The sequence below is a fragment of the Homo sapiens genome, chromosome 6 (genome assembly GCF_000001405.40).
Source record: "Homo sapiens chromosome 6, GRCh38.p14 Primary Assembly".
In the NCBI taxonomy this organism is placed as follows: domain Eukaryota; kingdom Metazoa; phylum Chordata; class Mammalia; order Primates; family Hominidae; genus Homo; species Homo sapiens.
This window is the reverse complement of record NC_000006.12, coordinates 21,127,225-21,145,990: the sequence shown is the minus strand read 5'-3', so window position 1 is coordinate 21,145,990 and position 18,766 is coordinate 21,127,225. Positions and strand designations below refer to the sequence as shown.

Sequence of the window (18,766 nt, the reverse complement as noted above, 5' to 3'; positions counted from 1 at the left end):
TTAGGAAATACCACTCTTTGTGTTGCCTATTGTCAACAGTACTGAACTATGGAATCAGCCATAAACCAGCCATGTAATTTTATTTTATTTTTGAGGCAGGGTCTCACTCTGCAGCCCAGGCTGAATGCAGTGGCGTGATCATAGTTTGCTGCAGCCTTGAACTCTTGGGTTCAAGTGATACTGCCATGTCTGCCTCCTGAGTAGCTGGGACTACAAGTGTATGCCACCAGGCCCGGTGAATTTTTGATATTTTGTAGAGATGGGATCCTGCTACGTTATCCAGGTTGGCAGCCGTGCAATTTTAGACAGAGACTTTGCTTCTTTGGACTGTGAAGTGGTTAAAGTGATCTGTGTGATTCTTTCTAATTACTTGATATCACTCTATTCCCTAACATCACAGATTGCAAATCTGATTTACCATTCTTTGTTGACATTAACTTGGTCCCCTAAAAAGCAGCTAGGAATTAGGAATAAGCTGATCCTTCACAAGTGAGGTGGAATAAAAGAGATGTGTGTGAAGATGGGCACTTGACCTAGGGGTTACTAGAGAATTCTAGTTTTCTGGGATGTTGCTAACCAGTTTCACAGGAGGAGGGGAAAAAAATCTTTTCTCATAATACTGTTACAAAGCTTTTGGAATTTTTCTAAGGAGTTACTACAAAGGAGATATTTATTCTAAATGTGAAAAGATCAGCTCAGCAAATGAAGACATTTACTTTATTACCATAATTTAACATTTTTATAGACTTTCTGCTCTTCATCATTGAGAACAAACATGAAAATCTGCACACTTTCAACAGTTAGGACATTGTTCTGAGAAGGAAAACGTGACTGCCTGGAAATAAAGGCTGTGAATCAAGTGCATGCAAATGAGCTCCATGCCACCCAGCTCTGCAGCCCTCCTAGAAACATGTGTAAGACATTACAATCCTGAAGGCTCTGGGCAGCCTAAGGGGACATGACCACCTAGGGCTCAAGCCTAGCAAAGCAGAACTTATTCTGGACACGTCATGAGGTTGAAATCACTTTTTGTAAATCTCAGATTTAAAGCAAATAAGAATACTTCAAGCAGAAAATCTTAGAAAATATGTAAAGCTAGGGCACATCCCTTATCTCCCTCCTCACCCCACACTCAATTTACCTGTTCTCATCTTTTTTATTTGTTTGTTTGTGTTTTCTTTTTGGAGACAAGGTCAGTCTCACTGTGTCACCCAGGCTGGAGTGCAAAGGCATAATGATCATGGCTCACTGCAGCCTCCACCTCCTGGGCTCAGGTGATCCTCCTACCTGAGCCTCCCAGGTAGCTGGGACTATAGGTACATGCCACCACACCCAGCTAATTCTTTTTTTTTTTTTTTTGGTATTTTTTGTAGAGATGGGGTTTCACCATGTTTCCCAGGCTGATCTCTAACTCCTGGTCTCAAGCAATCTGCCCACTTTGGCCTCCAAAGTGCTAGGATTACATACGTGGGCCACCATGCCTGGCCTATCTTCAGTTTTTAAGGACCAACAGGTGATTCAGTATAAAATGTCACAGGAATGCCAGAATCCATTCCCAGTATATGAAACTGCACTCCGCTGACCACAGCACAGTATTTAGCATTCAATAGTTGCTTTAAAAACAGTTGTTCATTTATGTGACTTTACTCTGCTGCAGGGAATATAACATTTGCATGTCTAAGCTCTATTGCATTTGACCTTCACAACTCTGTGAGGCTGGCTAATAGGATGCAGTGTAATTTTATGCCACTTTCACAGATCAGAAAACTGAGGACCAAAGAAGTCAAATAACTTGTTTGAGAGTTATTTGGCTAGGTGGTGAGATGATTCATAGGTAAAGTACTTTGTAGAAAGTACTACACAAATGAAAGTAACTAACATGATGATTTGGGCACATATCTATAAATAAGGCAAAATTTAAAACTTCACATGGAATGGTATCTCAGTCTTTTCTGAATATAACATACCTACTAAAATTGTGCTGTTTTTTTTTTACCATCCAACTCTCTCTTCCCTTAGCCATAAATGAGGGGCTACTCCCACTTTACAGCAGAATGGCAGGCTACTCAGTATCGTGAGATGCACCATTCCAGAACCTGAGTCGATCCAGACAGGCTGTCACCGGGTATTCAACAGAGAGCAGCAACAATTACCCTCCCGACTAGGGTCCCTTGAGACACAGGTCTGGAGAATTCTGGCATGAAGAAACAGAGTTTGTGACAATCAATAATCTTTCAGGTTGACTTAATGTGGAAAGAAAACAGCATTAAACAATTATGCTGCACATGAACATGCTATATAAGAGGGTATAGTTGATCATTTTTATGGTTTCATAAAAATTCATTTGCTTTTGGGTGTTACAAACACACTAGGAAACTGAAACATCTAACACAGGCAAGGCACCACCTAAAAAATAAAAGCCTGACAAATTAAGAAAATAAAATATCAATTTCTAACCCAAACCACATCAAGTCAATTTTGTTTGAAAACAAAAACTAAGCTTTTGTCTAAGGCTGCTAGTCACCCTCATTTTTCTTCAACAGAAAAATTAACAAAGGAACTTTTGTGATGAAATGCTAATATTAAAGGTTTATAGGGTCCTACCTTACACTCCTGAGATACACTTGCTTTCATGACACAACACTTACATGGAAAAGAAAAAAAACCTACAGACTAGAGAAACGTTGAGAGAAAAACAAACTTTGAGAGATTTGTTACTGTGTGTGTTTCTAACTTTCCTAATTTAGGGTATACTGACTTATGCTATTGCTGCTTTTATTTTTGATCTTCTGGCAAAATTGTGTTTTTAGCTTCTAAGAGGTGAAATATGACTAAATGAAGTACAAATTCAGAGAGAAGGATTAGGGCAAAGAAGCAAATTAACTACGTTCCCTACATTTTGAGCCTGATAGAATGATTATTTGGCTACATGCTGCATAGATCATGCATTTTTCTCTGTAACAAGGCAAATTAGATATTTATGCTTCTATTCCAAACAAAGCAGACACGCTGTCTGGCAGGATTTTTTTCTACACTAGTTAGAACTCTTGTAAGTAAAGCTTATGAGTTTTATCACATGGCACTTCAACCCTGCTACACATAAACAATCTTTATGAGGGTCATACTGCTTCTTACTTAACAGTCAATAAATGTACCACTACCATTACCATCTTCAACTTCTTCCAATAATGTTGTAAAAGTAACGTTGCCTTGCTTGAATTTGCACACAAACTAGTTCATATTTACTCTTTAAGGCTGCAGTATTACATTTTGTACTTCTCTTTTTCTCCTAAAGCATTCTATTCGTACTTTGGTCCATGCTTTTGGTTCAAATTGTCAACAACACTGCTCATGTCTGAATCTTCATAATACCTGGCACTATGCTCCTCTTATCCTAGGCATGTTGGCCACTGCCTCCCATAACCTGCTGAGTTGCTGCCAATGAGGGTCCTTATCCTATGAATCCAGCCAGTCTCATTTAGTTCTTGAGCTCATCATCATCAGAATGGAGGGTACATTGGTGGCCACCAGTCCACCAGGAGGTAGGTGCTAGCCTTAGTTATGTTACCATAAACTCTACTGTTTGGGTAAAAACTGGGCACCCCAGATTCTATGGTGTCCCAGTCTCCTGCCAGACTGGCTTGATCCAGATGAGCAGATTTTTTTTTTTTTTTTTCATATGGCAGCTCTGGCTAAGTACTATTGCCTTACCTAGAACACTAGGTACTCAGAGAGGACCCTGTTCTACCTGCTTGCCTCTATCTCAAGTAAGCCATTCTCTTGCCAAGAGGGGAGAAAAGGAAGGAAGGAACTGGCAGCAAATTTCTGATTCTTTGGCATCTAACTTGGAATCTGGTACAAAACACAGTCATTGCTGGGAACACCTAGACCAGTCTGGTGCACACTACTGAGGACCAGCTATTTAAATGTTTTTCCTTCCTTCTTTTTTTTGGAAAAAAAAATTTTGGATCCACCAGGAACCAATTGATTTATAAGATATGATAAAGATTAATGACTAGAAAAAATGGCATTAAAGACAAGCACCAATGTTTTCAGTATAAGATTTAAGAGACACAAAATTATTCTGTCAAATTCCTAAATGCTTACTCCAACTTCTGTAGTTACCTCATTTTGGGTCAATATGTTTGTGGACTGGCTGGGTCCAAGCTCCAAACTTTGAACAGTGTTGGCTGGGTCCCTCCTACTACATATCCCATTCACAGTCTTAAGGGCTACTGAGCGAATAAAGCCTGAGCTAACCCTTTTATGTGGATAATTTCTCTACCCCTTCTTCCTACTTCACTCCTAAGGTTTCTTCCCCATCCATAATGCCAGTGTTGCTTCATGCCAAGACTCTTCCTTGGCATAAAGTTATGAGGAATACACAGTGAATATCTGCCAAATGAACTAATTCCTGCCTGACAATGTCATGGATTGAGTCATTCATTCAAAAATTATTAAGTACCCACTATGTGTCAGGCACTGAGTGAATCGCGGGGACATACACCTTATTCTTAAGTAGGTTTTAGTCTAGTGGGAGGACATGAAAGTAAATAACCATAATTCACTGGGACAAATGTCCTGGCAGAGGGAAGCACAGAGTGCTTTGAAGGCACGTAAAGATGCCACATATTCCAGGCTGGGTTTGTAAGAAGCAAAGGCTTCGTGGAGGTGCCTGGGCTGAGTGAGTCCTGAAGGATTAAAAAACATTTGCTAGAAGAGAAAGTAGGTCAGGAGCCTAAGAAATAAAATCTGCAAAGATGTAGAAGTAGACAGAGCTTGGCATGATCCAGAACGAAGTAGCTCAGTAAGGATTAAATATAGCGTGCAAGGGGGGAGTGGTGAAATATAAGGCTTGTGTAGTGATATGGTTTGGCTGTGTCCCCATTCAAATCTCAACTTGAATTGTAACTCCCAGAATTCCCATGTGTTGTGGGAGGGACCCAGGGGGAGGTGATGGGTCCCGTGCTGGTCTTTCCCGTGCTATTCTCGTGATAGTGAATAAGTCTCATGAGATCTGATGGGTTTATCAGGGGTTTCCGCTTTTGCTTCTCTCCTCATTTTCTCCTGGCGCCGCCATGTAAGAAGTGCCTTTTGCCTCCCGCCATGATTCGGAGGCCTCCCCAGCCATGTGGAACTGTAAGTCCAATTAAACCTCTTTTTCTTCCCAGTCTCGGGTATGTCTTTATCAGCAGCCTGAAAACGGACTAATACACATAGCAAGCAGGACAAGTTTTTAAGGAACCCAGTGTTTTTTAATGCTGAGCGCTAGCGGTACTGTGAGCACAACAGTGCTTTGCTGTGACAGACTGTGCTGTGCAACATTTAGCATGTTTAGCATCTCCGGCCCCTGGGAGCGTAATGCCAGTAGCACCACTAGCAACGACCAAACCCTCCCTATTTCCATATAGCCCCTTGATAGAGTGACACCGACCCTGACTGAGAACCTTGGGTAGATGGATAATTTGGTCAGAAAGTGGGCAAGTCTCTTAAAAACATGCAGTGATACCAGTTTGACTGAATTAAAGTTTTATCATAAAGGGATGCCCAAGGCAGGTGGGGAGGACATCAGGCACGTCCAAGATGTGTCCAAAGAAAACCATGTCTGGCTCCTCTAGTGTTTACATTTGGTCTCAATGCAAGTAATTTGCAAGTAGCTTTGCCGTAAATACAATTCCAGTCGGCAAGAGTTTACTTAGAAACTATTCAATGTCAACTACTAGCCTAGGTTCCTTTAAGGGTGTTCAAAGACATAAGACATAGTCCTTACCCTTGAGAAATGTACAGTCTAGTTGCTAAGATATAATTAAGTGAACACACCAAGGCAGTATATAATCCAGTGTTTGACAGTGTATCATTCATGTTTCATGGGAACATTTAGCAATTAAGTGAATTCCTCTATATTCCTCCTCCTTGATCTTCTGTATCTACCCAAATCCTCTATCAGAACAGTACAACAAAGAAAGAAGCAAAAAGTCAGCAGAAAGCTGAGATTATCAACAATTATCTGTGCGTTTTTGCAGTCTTTCCCTTATTAGGGATTGTGAAGAAAATACCCTTGTAATTTACCTGAGGGGAAAAAAAGGTATTTTTGTTTGTAATACATTATCTTCATTATTAATGAGATTTTCATTTGCTTTCAGATATTTTCTAAAAGTAAAGACTTTAAAGAAAGGCACAGGAGGCTGGGAGCAGTGGCTTACATTTGTAATCCCAGCACTTTGCGGGGCTGAGGCCGGAGGACTGCTTGAGTCCAGGAGTTTGAGACCAGCCTGGGCAACACAGTGAGACCCCATCTCTACAAAAAATTAAAAATTAGTTACACGGTGGTGCGTGCCTGTAGTCCTAGCTACTCGGGAGGTTGAGGTGGGAGGATCATTTGACCCTGGGAGGTTGAGGCTGCACTGAGCCACGTTCACACTACTGCACTCCAGCCTGAGAGACAGAGACCCTGTTTCAAGGGGAAAAAAAGGCAAGAAAGGAAAGGCACAGTAAAACTGATTTTGCACTAAAGGTAGAAGTTATTTTTCTCTACCTTTTCTTGCTCTTTAAGTCTTTCCTGGGACATGTTGATGACCAGGAATAACTGTAGCTAGTAGTTCTGCTGTAAGTAACATCCTCTGTTCTGTTCCCAATTCCCTTCCTTGATGACATTGTGCATTTTACTGGATGACTTGGTCACAAGTGAAATGGGTTTCTGCCAGAAGGGAACAGTTTCCAGTGATTTGTGGATCTCTTTGTGGGTCAGAAGTCATCAAAAGTAGCCACTTAAAGGTGAAAGAGCCAATTAAAAATAATATTCAGGGACATCATAATTGACATGTTCCAGAAAGTCTGCTGGAAAACAGAAAGGTTCACTAACACATGAGAATCAACAATTAGTAGCTAATACTTTGGCTTAAATCCCAACTCTTCTGCTAAAATGAAAATAGCCAGGGAGACTCTCCTATTGACCCTTTTCAATAATGTATATCTTGTAATGGACGTGCCTCTCACATTCTCTCTTGAAAGCAGGCTTGACTGTGCATGACTGGAGACAGTGCGAGGTCGCCGAGTCCATAAGCAGCAAGAAGGGCACACAGAAGGAGAAAGGAGAAGCTTGCTGCCGGAGGAGACAAACTGGACTTTACAGTGTTCTCCGGGGTGGGACCTGACTTTGACCTCATGTATACAGATGGGCCTGACTGAGCTCATCCATGCTTATGTCCGGGTGCTTAAGTCTTATGGTAATGTATTTTTTTTTCAATTGCCATTGAAAGATGTGAGAAATGAAACATGAAAATATTTAATAATTCAGCATTTCCAAGTGTCTAGACTACTGAACATATTATCCAAGAAATTATTTAGAAGAAAGGGAAAGGAAATAGGCAAGAGATTTTATGAGTACTGACTATGAATCAGTTGTTTTCAGAGTTGTATTTCTCACAGAATAGATACTATTTTCCCTGTTTCACAGATGACAAATGTGAGGGTCAGATAGATTAGGAAACGTGCCCAAAGTTTCACAGCTAGTCAATGAGAGAAAGCATTTTCCAAGCCAGGTTCACTTGGCTGCAAAGCACTTACTCTTTCTGATATACAGCATGCTGCCTAGATGTTTTAGCACATTTGGATTACAAAAATGTTAGAAATAAAATTATGTTTGTGAAAGGATGGGCATTTAAAAAGCTCTGGGTTATGGTTGTCTGTGGTTGAAATTATAAAATGATAGTTCCCCCCACACACATACAGCATACACACACACACACACACAGACACACACATACACACACACAAATGTGGGTTATTATGGCTGAGTCATTGAATTTATTTGGAAGAACCATCTTCTTTTGCATGACAGAATACAGATGGCCATAAACTATTTACCCAGACATTTTGGGGTTGAGGGATGTAATCATCATTTGAAACAAAAATACAACTCTAGAAATACATATGAAAGTGAATTACTTTGTTAATGTGAAAGGGAAAAGGGGGAAAATGAATAAAACAGCAAGAATACAACTGAAAGGAGACTAAAAGGAACAAGGGCAAACTGTCTTTGAGCACAAGGCATATGCGTATGCTACACAGAGCGTTGTTCTAGAAATGTTTATAAACAATGGATGTTTGTGGAATGAAAAACTGAATAGCTGTGATATTAAGGCTTTCCACTCCTGGGAAAAATATGGACACCATGGCTTATAAGTTATTTGATTCTGACAAGCATCTTCCTACCTCCTCTAACATTTGGTTATATTAACTATATTGGAGGCTTTTCCTTTTGTTACTCTGTGTTTCTGCCATCTGAAAACAATGAGCTTAAACAGCTATCATGCTGTCATTTTGCCCTGTGAATAGACTCGTTAATATAGAAACCTAATGAAATGATTGTTTTAAAAAAAGAAAAAAAATCCCATTCTATACGTGTTTTACTTCTTAAAATGTCCCTAAATTACAAAGATTCTCTGAAAAGATAAAAAATATCTCACATATTCAGAGGATGACTTTAGCCCATTGTTTCAGGGCTTTTTCATGCCTTATCTCCTTTTAAAAACCATAACAGGCTGTGAAAAACAAAATAAATTAAGGAGAATAGTTCCTTCCTTTTTATGATAAATCTGCATGTGGCGGTGACGGTCAAGTACAAACTGTAAATAAGTGAAATAACTCATAACTAGTAATATACAGGTTAATCAACTATGATTAAAAGTAAATAGGTTTTTCACCAAGAACAATATCTTTAACTCAAAATTAAATAATTGGCAGCATGCTAGGTAAATTATAAAATAAGGAATTTCTAAAAGCAGAGAATGATGTTCTTTCTCCGTTGTCAATCTGATGAGTCTTGGTGACCTTTTGTTCACATTAATGCTGACAAACTGCATCATGCATGACCGTCCCAACCCCCTTCTCCTCCCAATAGTTCCTTCTTTGATTCTAATCTGTATTCAAGGGTGTGGGGTGGGACACTTTAGTAAGGGGTGGGGGCGAGGGGATGGCAATGGTAGACGCTGGTCGGGGCTGTCAATAACCTTGGAGGCCTTTGGGAAGAGCAGAGGACAATAATTTATTGCAGTATAGGAGAGACAGCTAGGAAGTAATTCCTCCGTGTTACCTTTATAATTTGAGAAGGCGTCCAAAGAAATAACACATCAGAGTTCAGTGCTATGAAGGAAAAAGCACTGGACAAGTTATTTGGATGGGTATTCTTGGTTTTCTTGGTTACAATTTAAGGCAAATATGAAACTCAAAAAGGTACCTTGGGACCATCGTGTTCTTGGGAAGTTGACACAAGAACCACAACAGTTTAGAGAAACCCCTAAATATCCATCTTAGAAAAAAAAAGTACACATTTTTAGTTCTTAGGAGAAAGAGCAATAGATTTATTTGAATGAAATAATTAATGAGTCATGGTCCCCCAGACCTTTTTCAGGCATGAAGCTAGCACTGAATACTTTGTGCTTTCAAAGTTTCAAATGACCTTCAGTTAAACTTTTATAACAAGGTTCCTTTAAAACACATTTATGCTTTGCTATTAACACTACTACCAATAATACAGTAATTACTAATAGTGGGTAGTAATGGCATTACATATGAATCTCAGAATTAAAATTAGCTGTTCATCTCCATCCTTCCCAACAGCCTGAGAGTGTGTCAAGACATGGGACCACACAGAATCTTACTGTTTGTATTTTCAACGTCTTGCGTACAGTGACAATAAATGAATGAGAGTTTTAAAAAACTGTATATAAAGACTATTGAGTCCTATTACAAACACATTGTTTACACACATATAAATCTGTGCTATGACACTAGGTATAAGCATACAGAGGACACCTAACTTCACTTGAAGTCTAAGTAAACACAAAACATGGCCTACAGTGATTTCCCTGAGTTGGAGAACCATACACATGTCTGGTTGTCCTTTGGACAAGCTGGTAACATGAAAAAGAGGCAAGACCAATGTAAACACTGATATATTCATGATAATGCAAAAACATTAAGATTCATTAAAATGTTACAAATAAGAAAATCACTTGTGTTTTGGTATTTATATACTTGAAGGAAGTTTATTTGGCATTATGGGAGTTTATTACATTTCTAATCAAAGTCTACTGACGACTCGTGGAGGGAGAGGAAAGCTGTCAGGTTCTCTAACTTATCCATCTGTTCATGCCTCCCCCCTGGATGGCACCCGTTCTCCAATGGAGAAGCGGAGCACTGGCCTCTTGAAAGCTGTCTTTCTGGCACTGCCTTCCTGAGCGAATGAAATGGTTTGGTTTAGAATACCTTCCCTTTCAGTCCTGTCCCAGCTTCCAGATGAATGTCCTTAATTTTAAAGAAGCACAGTCCAATAGTTTCTATGTTGCTGGAAGAAGAAAATTAAATTATGTTGTAATTATGTAGTCAACTAGCATATGGTCCTTTACCGGGGAAAAGTAGTTTTTAACCTCTCCCGTAAACTCTAGAGGGAACTTACAGAAGAGAAATTCAGGCACCAGGAAACACATGTATTCATCATTTTATTGGTTCTTAAAATTTACTGTGACATGGGAGGAGAACCTATCATCCTGCATACTCTCATGAATGTAGCAGATGAAATCCAGGAAAGTTTAATCAATAAAAATGACAGTACATATATTTTTGTAGTACTTAAAAGTTTATAACACACATGCATTATCTCATGTGACCCTCACAAACAACTAAAACTAAGGGCAGGGATGATCTTCAATTTCAAGATAAGAAACCAGGCTTGAGGTTATTAAACTTTTTTTTTAAGACAAAAATCTCACTCAGACTATTACATCTTAAAATGAGGGTTAATCTGGAAATAGGCCAGTCAGTATGAACCTGTTTTTAAGATCATTCAGCTAGTTTGGAGGCAAAGTCAAGACACAAACTCTGCCTTCTCCAAGCAAAATTAGCACTCTTCACAAATTCCTAGAACTACATCAGTAGTTCATGGTCATAGACTATTTACGTAAGATTTCCTGCTTTATAGTTTGGTTTGTCAATGCAGTGCTCTTAGTGGTGGGCATATTTTAAAAAAATCACTTAATAGAAGAAATTAAACAATAATGGGATCTAAACTATTGGAAGAAACAGTTAAAAGTAGTTTTAAAATAAGAGAGGGGAGAGCTGGACATTAAAGTACTAATTTTACTTCTGAAATTATTTTTTTCCAGCTTTCTACATGGTGTTATCTTAATATTTGAAACTCTTAAGATGTCAGTTTGAATCCCTGCATTACATTTTATATAATTTCTGTTGGTATTGCTCATAGAGCTTATGTGACTAATTAAACCTCACTGCAATTACTTTTCAAGCAGAAGCTGTAGTTTACTTATTTCTCAACAAAAACTATGATCATTTGCCTTGTTTCCCATGCATTATTCGATGACTGATTACTGTTACAGCGTGGATTATGTTTTGTATTCCGCAGCACGCAAGCATTAATCTTCACTTATTCTGCAATAGTATAATTCATTAAAACACATGCTTTGAATTTGGGGCACATACAAGAAGATGTAACCACACAGAATACAGTGCTTTTATGACAAAACATAATTAATAAAACATAAAATGTGTTTTATGAAGTTATGGTTTTAATTTGCTATCTCAAGAAATATGCTCTAGCAATTTTGTACAAGGTAACTTCCCAGGAGAATTTAAATCCCCTTCCCCTCCCTTCTCTAGGTACTGAAAGGATTATGATTAATGCACACTAAATCTCTCTTAAATGGAAAAGGTCCTAGCAAATTTCTAAAACCGAATTTGAGCTCCTGAAAAGTATGACAGTCCTAAATCTGGAGCAAACTTTGTTTGACTTCTGAATTCCTATCTGGCCTCTGCTGGCCCCTCTTTTTTTTCTCGACATTATCACACAGCAGGGGACAGAGTGGGCCCAGCCAGAGGCAGCACAAAAGAGCACGGCCACATACGCCCCCACGACCCCGGCAAATGGATGACCTACATTTGATGCAAGCAGTTCACATGAGAAAAATTAATCTGTATTGCAGCTTGCATTTAACCTGTATTTCAAGAGGCAATTAAAGATACATATATATAAAGTAAATATGAGCAAATAAGTATTTCAGACATACATCACTCTAAATTTATAGGAGACATCAGCAAAACTATATGTGTTCATGTAAATGTGCACATGGCCTTCTTTCTCTTAATTCTTCAATCTTCATAAACAAATGTACTAGTGGGAGGTTAGTACAAGTAAAAACAGCATTAATGGGTCGCATATTAATATTTATGTTTTACTATATAAAGACCTTGCATACATTATGACTGTTTTGCAAGATGAATGAATAACTAATGCTACATTATGTATGGGTACATATTAAGCAGACATGTCTACACTTTCTTAGTTCAGGATATGATTAATGCAGCCTATCAGAAGCCAGATGGTGCAGAACCAGAACCATCAATCAAAATGAAAAGACCACTGCGTGCTATCCACAATGAGGTTCTCACAAATGGAGATTCTGTTCACAGACCCTAACTGGTAATAGGCAGAAAACGCCAAGAACATAGCTACACTGTCCCACTGGGATAAAAAAATCATAGCTCAGGCTTGGCTGGATCAAAAATCTGGTGTAGGAATATGCATGGAGTCCTGAGCACCAGGGCTGGGAAAGCCCGAACAAACCAACAGCCTGTCCCTAAGATTAAAAAAAAGAAGAAGAAGCTGTTTAATTATTTTAATAATGTTTGTACTGATGACAGTATCTGTCAAACAGTACCCATTTCCCATTTGATTTAGGATGGGACAGTGCCACATAGTAACAAAGCAGCTGCCACTGTCTGCCTGACACGTGAATTGGCATCTTGTTTCTTTTGCACAGGCTTTATTATAAATAACCCCAAATGCTTTAGTGTTACTTTGCAGCCTTTCTCCAAGGATCTATGGGAAACAATTTTAGTCTCTGTTATGTTTAATACTAATGACTATTTTTGGGGCAGTTGTAGGGAGAAAGGCTGCCGAAAGATGTTTCCTGTTCCTTTAATAGCTTTACATAAAAATAACTATAGAAACACAAGGTGCTTTGTCTTTGTAACTGGATCATGTGTGCCTAGAAAATGTTAAACAATCCCCATGCTCTGTAGAACCTCTGAAAAAAAAAATTTAAACAAATATATAGGTTCGACTTCCTAACAGCCACTAAATACCGTCTCAGAATTCTAGTTGTGTGGAGTTTTGGGGGGTAGACAGATGTGCAAGCAAGGAGAAATTACCAGGAAATACAATTTCTTCCAGAAGAGTAATACAGCAAAATCATGAGATACATAAATAATACATTGAAAAACACAAATAAAAAAAGGATAATGAAGTGAAATTATTTGGAAAACTTAAATGTGTTATCTAAAGATATTTCTGCTTTAAGATAAAAATGTTATTATGACCCTCATAACTTGGCATGTGAGATAATTTGGAAAGAGAACAGCTTTTACTTTTGTACAAGCAATAATAAAAAAAAGGAATGACTACATATTAACATAAATAAGACCTTATGTATAATGGCTGAGCTTAAGAGATTTTTAAAATTTCAGCATCTCCTTCTATCTTCATTAATATGTAGTTCCAAAATAGGGCTGACTTCCTAACTTATATAAAATTGTTACTATTTTTTTCCTCCTAATAATGAGTGTTTTCCACACTGTTATAAATTCTGCGTAAATCACATTTATCAGCTGGGTATTAATCTACTGCGCGTGTACACCATGATTTACTTATATAATTAATTTCCTTAATGATGGATATTCAAGCTTTTTCTTCTATTATTGATAATAATGCAGTGAACATTTTTGTGCAAAGAGATCTTTCTGTCTCTAAGATTATTTCCTCAAAATAGATTTCCAGAAGCTGATTTGCTGAGCTAAACGATATGAACTATTAGCCTCTTTCTAAAATTTATATGCTTATCCAACTCTCTGTATTCTCAAATCAAAAATTTTTAGTAATTTTATAGGTGAAAATAACACTTGATTGGAATTTAAATTTGTATTGCTTTAACTACCAGATAGGTTAAATTTTTTTCCTATGGTTAAACAATGATGTTTTCATTTTAAAGTCTTACTGATGCCTTAGAAAATATTTCTTATTTATTAATTTAAAGAATCACAAAGTGGTCTCTTTGGAATACTAAATTTGTGGGATTATTTGAAAGAAGTAAACTATATTCCTTTAAAAAAATATTTTTAAAATAAAAACATTTCACTAATGCAGAGATCTCCCCTGAAACTACTTCAAATCGATGAAAACTTAACATAATTAACTGAATGCTCTGAACTGATCAATAACATTTTAGAGTAGCCATCTAGCTTTATGGTTTTTTTCTAGTGTTAGGAATGTTAAATGACAGCTGTCTTCTCAGTAATCCTCTCTCATGAAACATGTCTGTTTCACTGCTACCAAAACTTGGATAATGGGTAGTTTGCATCAAATTGCTTTTGACTTGTCTATGGTGACTTTTCTGTTATATACATAACAATACCGACCACACCACATGATATAAAAGTAGTTGTCATCACAATATGTGGGGAATGATCGCCAAAATGGCCTAACAAGAAAACTGAAATTAAACTGATACAGAACTACATATCTTTTTAGAACTAGATGTAATGGAGACAAACACCCTGAAAGGCAGTACTTATCATAAACTGGGATTTCTGAAATTCAGTGTCTATATTTAAACCAGAAGACATGATTAAAAAATATATTTATATCTACAACTAAATCTATCAGAGCCAACCAGATTTTGAACAATGCAGTCATCCAAATTTTCTCTGGCCCAGTCACAGCCTTTTTGAAAAAAAGTAGCACTTACTCCTTTTATGCCTTATTATGCAAATCATACTATATAAAAGGTAGACAATTTGGAAGCACAGACATATACGTAATATTGCCATTTACACTGGATCTACTGTTTTGTAACTGTTTTTTGAACTTTGGTATATCATAAGCCCTGCCCTGGAAGTAGCTTTTGGGAACACTCTCCTTTTAATCCCATCCTGGGAGCTGGTGCAGAAGGAAAACTGGGGGATAAGAGGACTTACAGTATTGCTGATGAAAGAGGAATTCCAAATCCACCACTAGCTGGCAGGTCCTTTTAGTCCTGGCATTGGCAATTTCTGCCATACCTTCTTCTCACTACCTTGCTGCCCCAACCCTAGCCACTGTACTCTTTGGGCGATGGCTGTGGAGGGGTCTGCCTTGGGACCAGGGTGGTGGCAGTTCCCTGAGACCTAGTCTACTGTGGCTTTCCACCAGTAGACAAGTAAAAAGGTCAAGCCAAAGAAGCTGTCTTTCATACAAACTCAAGTAGGTCTACAGAACTCTAGGTGAGTAGTTGTGTGATATTGTACCACTATAACTTCCCCTGCCATCTGTATGGGGGTCTCCAATCAAAGTCAACTAACCTGGAAATTCACATTTAATTGAGCAAATCAGGGGTTTATAAAAATGTTAGGTCCAGGCCAGGCTTGGTGGCTCATGCCTGTAATCCCAGCACTTTGGGAGGCCAAGGCAAGTGGATCACCTGAGGTCAGGAGTTTGAGACCAGCCTGGCCAACATGGTGAAACCCCGTTTCTACTAAAAACACAAAAATGAGCTGGGCGTGGTGGCGGGTGCCTATAATCCCAGCTACTCGGGAGGCTGAGGCAGGATAATCGCTCGAATCCAGGAGGCAGAGGTTGCAGTGAGCTGAGATCGCACCATTGCACTCCAGCCTGGGGAACAAGAGCGAAACTACATCTCAAAAAAAAAAAAAAAAAAAAGTTAGGTCCAATTTGCTACAAGGCAGAGTGTACTAGAGTTTTGAATCACAGAATACTTGGAAAAAAAGGGTGTTCTTGTTCTGTGAAATGCAAACATTAAAAATCAACAATAGCTAGAAACAAAAATAAATAATGACAAAAAACCCCCCAAAACCAACAACAACAAAAAACAAACACCCTGTGGTGAGGTGAAAGACATATCAGACTAGGAGTCAGCAAATATAATTTCAAGGTTTCATTTTATTATTAACTAGCCAATTGCATGTGGGCCTTCGTTTCCATACCTAAATTTTTAAAAAAAGTAGAAAAAAAAGGGACTGTATTAAGCTGATCCTTATAAATTCCTGACTCCTTTCAGTGCTAACATTTAATAATTCCAAATATTCTATTACTTTGATTATTTAAGGGACAAACTTAAAAAGCTATCTACCATCAATGCATTAGTATGTGTGAAATACTCTAGGTATTTTTATTTTGTATTATATCTAGAGTTAGTACAATTACTCCATTTTTTCCTTTTTTTTTTTTTTTTTTTTTTTGGTAAACTGCAGTCAGAATGTATAGTCTCCTATAAGACAATAGTGTTTATATAAGTGGATGGCTGGAACACATCAACGTGCCTACAACATGCTGCTGAGTCTACACACATCGAAGCAAAATTCTAAGGTGCAGGAACTGTTGGGAAATTGTAAATTATGAGGTCTACCCTGGGTTCACATATGTCAGTTAGCTTTTTGAGCCTTCTTACCATAGGCTTTTTTTCTACTCACAGTAGGTTGGAGACTTTCAGTTCTAGTCCAAAATGGACTTGTTTTAAAAACAACAGAAAATTTTAATTGGCTCAGAGAGAACCAGAACAATATTTTCATTTTTCTCCTTTAGATTTCCAGCTGGTTAGGTTTCTTTTTTATCTAGTTGAAGGACCCTGGTCATATTTTTCAGTATTCAATCACATGCTTTCTTTAATCACAATAAAATTATCTCACTGCTAATATGTTTTTTTCCAGATATCTAGTTACAGTAATAAATACTTATGGATAGAATTTATAATTATTATTTAACAACTAACATTTATTAAGTGCTTACTACATTCAGAGCACTGTGCCAATCTCTTCAACATACATTCTCTTGTTTAATCCTTATAATAACCCCATTGGGGAGGTACTATTGTTTTTATTCCCATTTTAGAGACAAAAAAGCTGAGCCTCAGAGAAGCTAAATAAATTACCAGTGTTGCACAGTGAGTGAAAGGCAGATTCAAACCCAGGACAGACTGCACCTCCATTGAAAACTGTCCAAAATAGTTTCAAATCTTACTGGGTCTTGTAAGTTTTATGGTACAATGGTCCATTATGCTGTTCAACACCCCTTAACAGAAAGATTGATGGAATATATTCTATTTAGAGATTTGCCCTAAGCAAGGTTGTCATTCCTCTTGAATGATATACTTTCTGCTATTACAAAATGAGAGCTGTGCATTTAGCTGTGTTTGTCTTTTTGCCTTTGCTTCCCAGAAACCCAAGCTTTTATTCTTAATTGTGGCAGTGACTCAGATTTTGTGAGTGACCAGCACATCTCTTCTTATTTTATCCTAAAATATCTTGTTATATATTTCTAATATAGGCCATTCTGAGGCGTCTTCAGCCAAAATAAAACATGAAAACAAAAGAGGTTTTAAGTAACAAAGGCAGTGTGTTAGCAAAATAGAATTACATTTTAATTATGATGATATTTTCTTTGGCCAGGTAAAGTCAACCCAATGAGGTAGTAAAATTGAATGTAACAATTAACTCTGACTTTTCATTACAGATGATTCTCAACATATGATGTGGTTACATCCTGACAAACCCATTCATAAGTTGAAAATATTTTAAGTTGAAAATGCATTTAATATAACTAACCTACTGAACATCGTAGCCTAGCCTAGCCTACCTTAAACATGCTCAGAACACTTTTGTTAGCCCAGTTGGGCAAAACCATCTAACACAAAGCCTATACTATAGTAAAGTGTTAAGTATCTCATGTAATTTATTGAATTGTGTACTGAGAGTAAAAACAGGATGGTCATATTAAAACTCCAAGTACAGTTTCCACTGAACATGTATTGCTTTCCCACAATCGTAAAGTCAAAAGAAAACTTGTAAGTCGGACCATTGTAAGTCAGGGACCGTGTGTTTATGCTTTAACACATATTATCTCACTGGATACTCACAAACTTTGAGATGTATTACTTACATCTGCATCTAGCAGAAAACAAAACCAGTGATCAAAGAAAATAAATAACTTATTCAGGGTCATCCAGGTAGTTAAATGGCAAAGCAATAATTTGAAGTCAGTCTTCAGACTCTACTGTACCATTCTAATATTTAGTAAAGCCAGTTTTAACATTTGCAAAAAAGCTTAAACTCATAAATTCAGTGACACAAGTTCTTTCCTCTTTCCTCCCTCTCTCCCTCCCTTCCTTTTATTCCTGAGATAGAGTCTCACTCTGTCACCCAGGCTGGAGTACAGTGGCGCAATCTAGGCTCACTGCAACCTCCGCCTTCCAGGTTCAAGTGATTCTCCTGTCTCAGCCTCTCAAGTAGCTGGGATTACAGGCACCCACCAGGACACCCAGCTAATTTTTGTATTTTTAGTAGAGACAGGGTTTCAACATGTTGGCCAGGCTGGTCTTGAACTCTTGACCTCAAATGATCTGCTGACCTCGGCCTCCCAAAGTATTGGGATTACAGGTGTGAGACACTGTGCCTGGCCTTTTTACATTGTTTATAAAAATAAAACATATTACACCTTTTTCTGGCATTCACTTAACTAGAAATTCAACAAGGTCCAACATGGTTCAATCAAACAATTCCTCTATATCGACATGTATGACATTTTGAATTAAATATATATTACTCAAATGTTGATGGAACACTTTTTGACAGATAATATGATAACTTGCATTATTGTGAATATTTGCTATTTGCCCTTCCTGTATTCATTCTTCTCTCCTAG

General features: G+C 37.8%; 1 protein-coding gene and 1 long non-coding RNA gene across 18 annotated transcripts in view; one reads left to right on the top strand and one right to left on the bottom strand.

Annotated features, from left to right (window-relative positions):
- Window positions 1-18,766, bottom strand: part of CDKAL1 (CDKAL1 threonylcarbamoyladenosine tRNA methylthiotransferase) — a 697,948-nt gene that overhangs the window by 86,414 nt on the left and 592,768 nt on the right. The window contains exon 14 of one of the 16 annotated variants that reach the window (XM_011514719.3): window positions 10,022-10,348. The exons of the other annotated variants lie outside the window; for them this stretch is intronic. Within the exon in view, the coding sequence (XP_011513021.1) occupies window positions 10,316-10,348 (33 nt within the window). The 3' untranslated portion in view covers window positions 10,022-10,315. Of the gene's footprint in view, window positions 1-10,021; window positions 10,349-18,766 lie in introns of those variants that run through there. 16 annotated transcript variants of the gene reach the window in all.
- Window positions 5,056-10,012, top strand: LOC105374966 (uncharacterized). 2 transcript variants are annotated; one of them, XR_926569.4, is made up of 3 exons: window positions 5,056-5,139; window positions 6,144-6,284; window positions 7,015-10,012. It is a non-coding gene; the product is annotated as an uncharacterized LOC105374966 (long non-coding RNA). The 2 variants fall into 2 exon arrangements; XR_926568.4 differs by having other exon boundaries at window positions 6,144-6,329.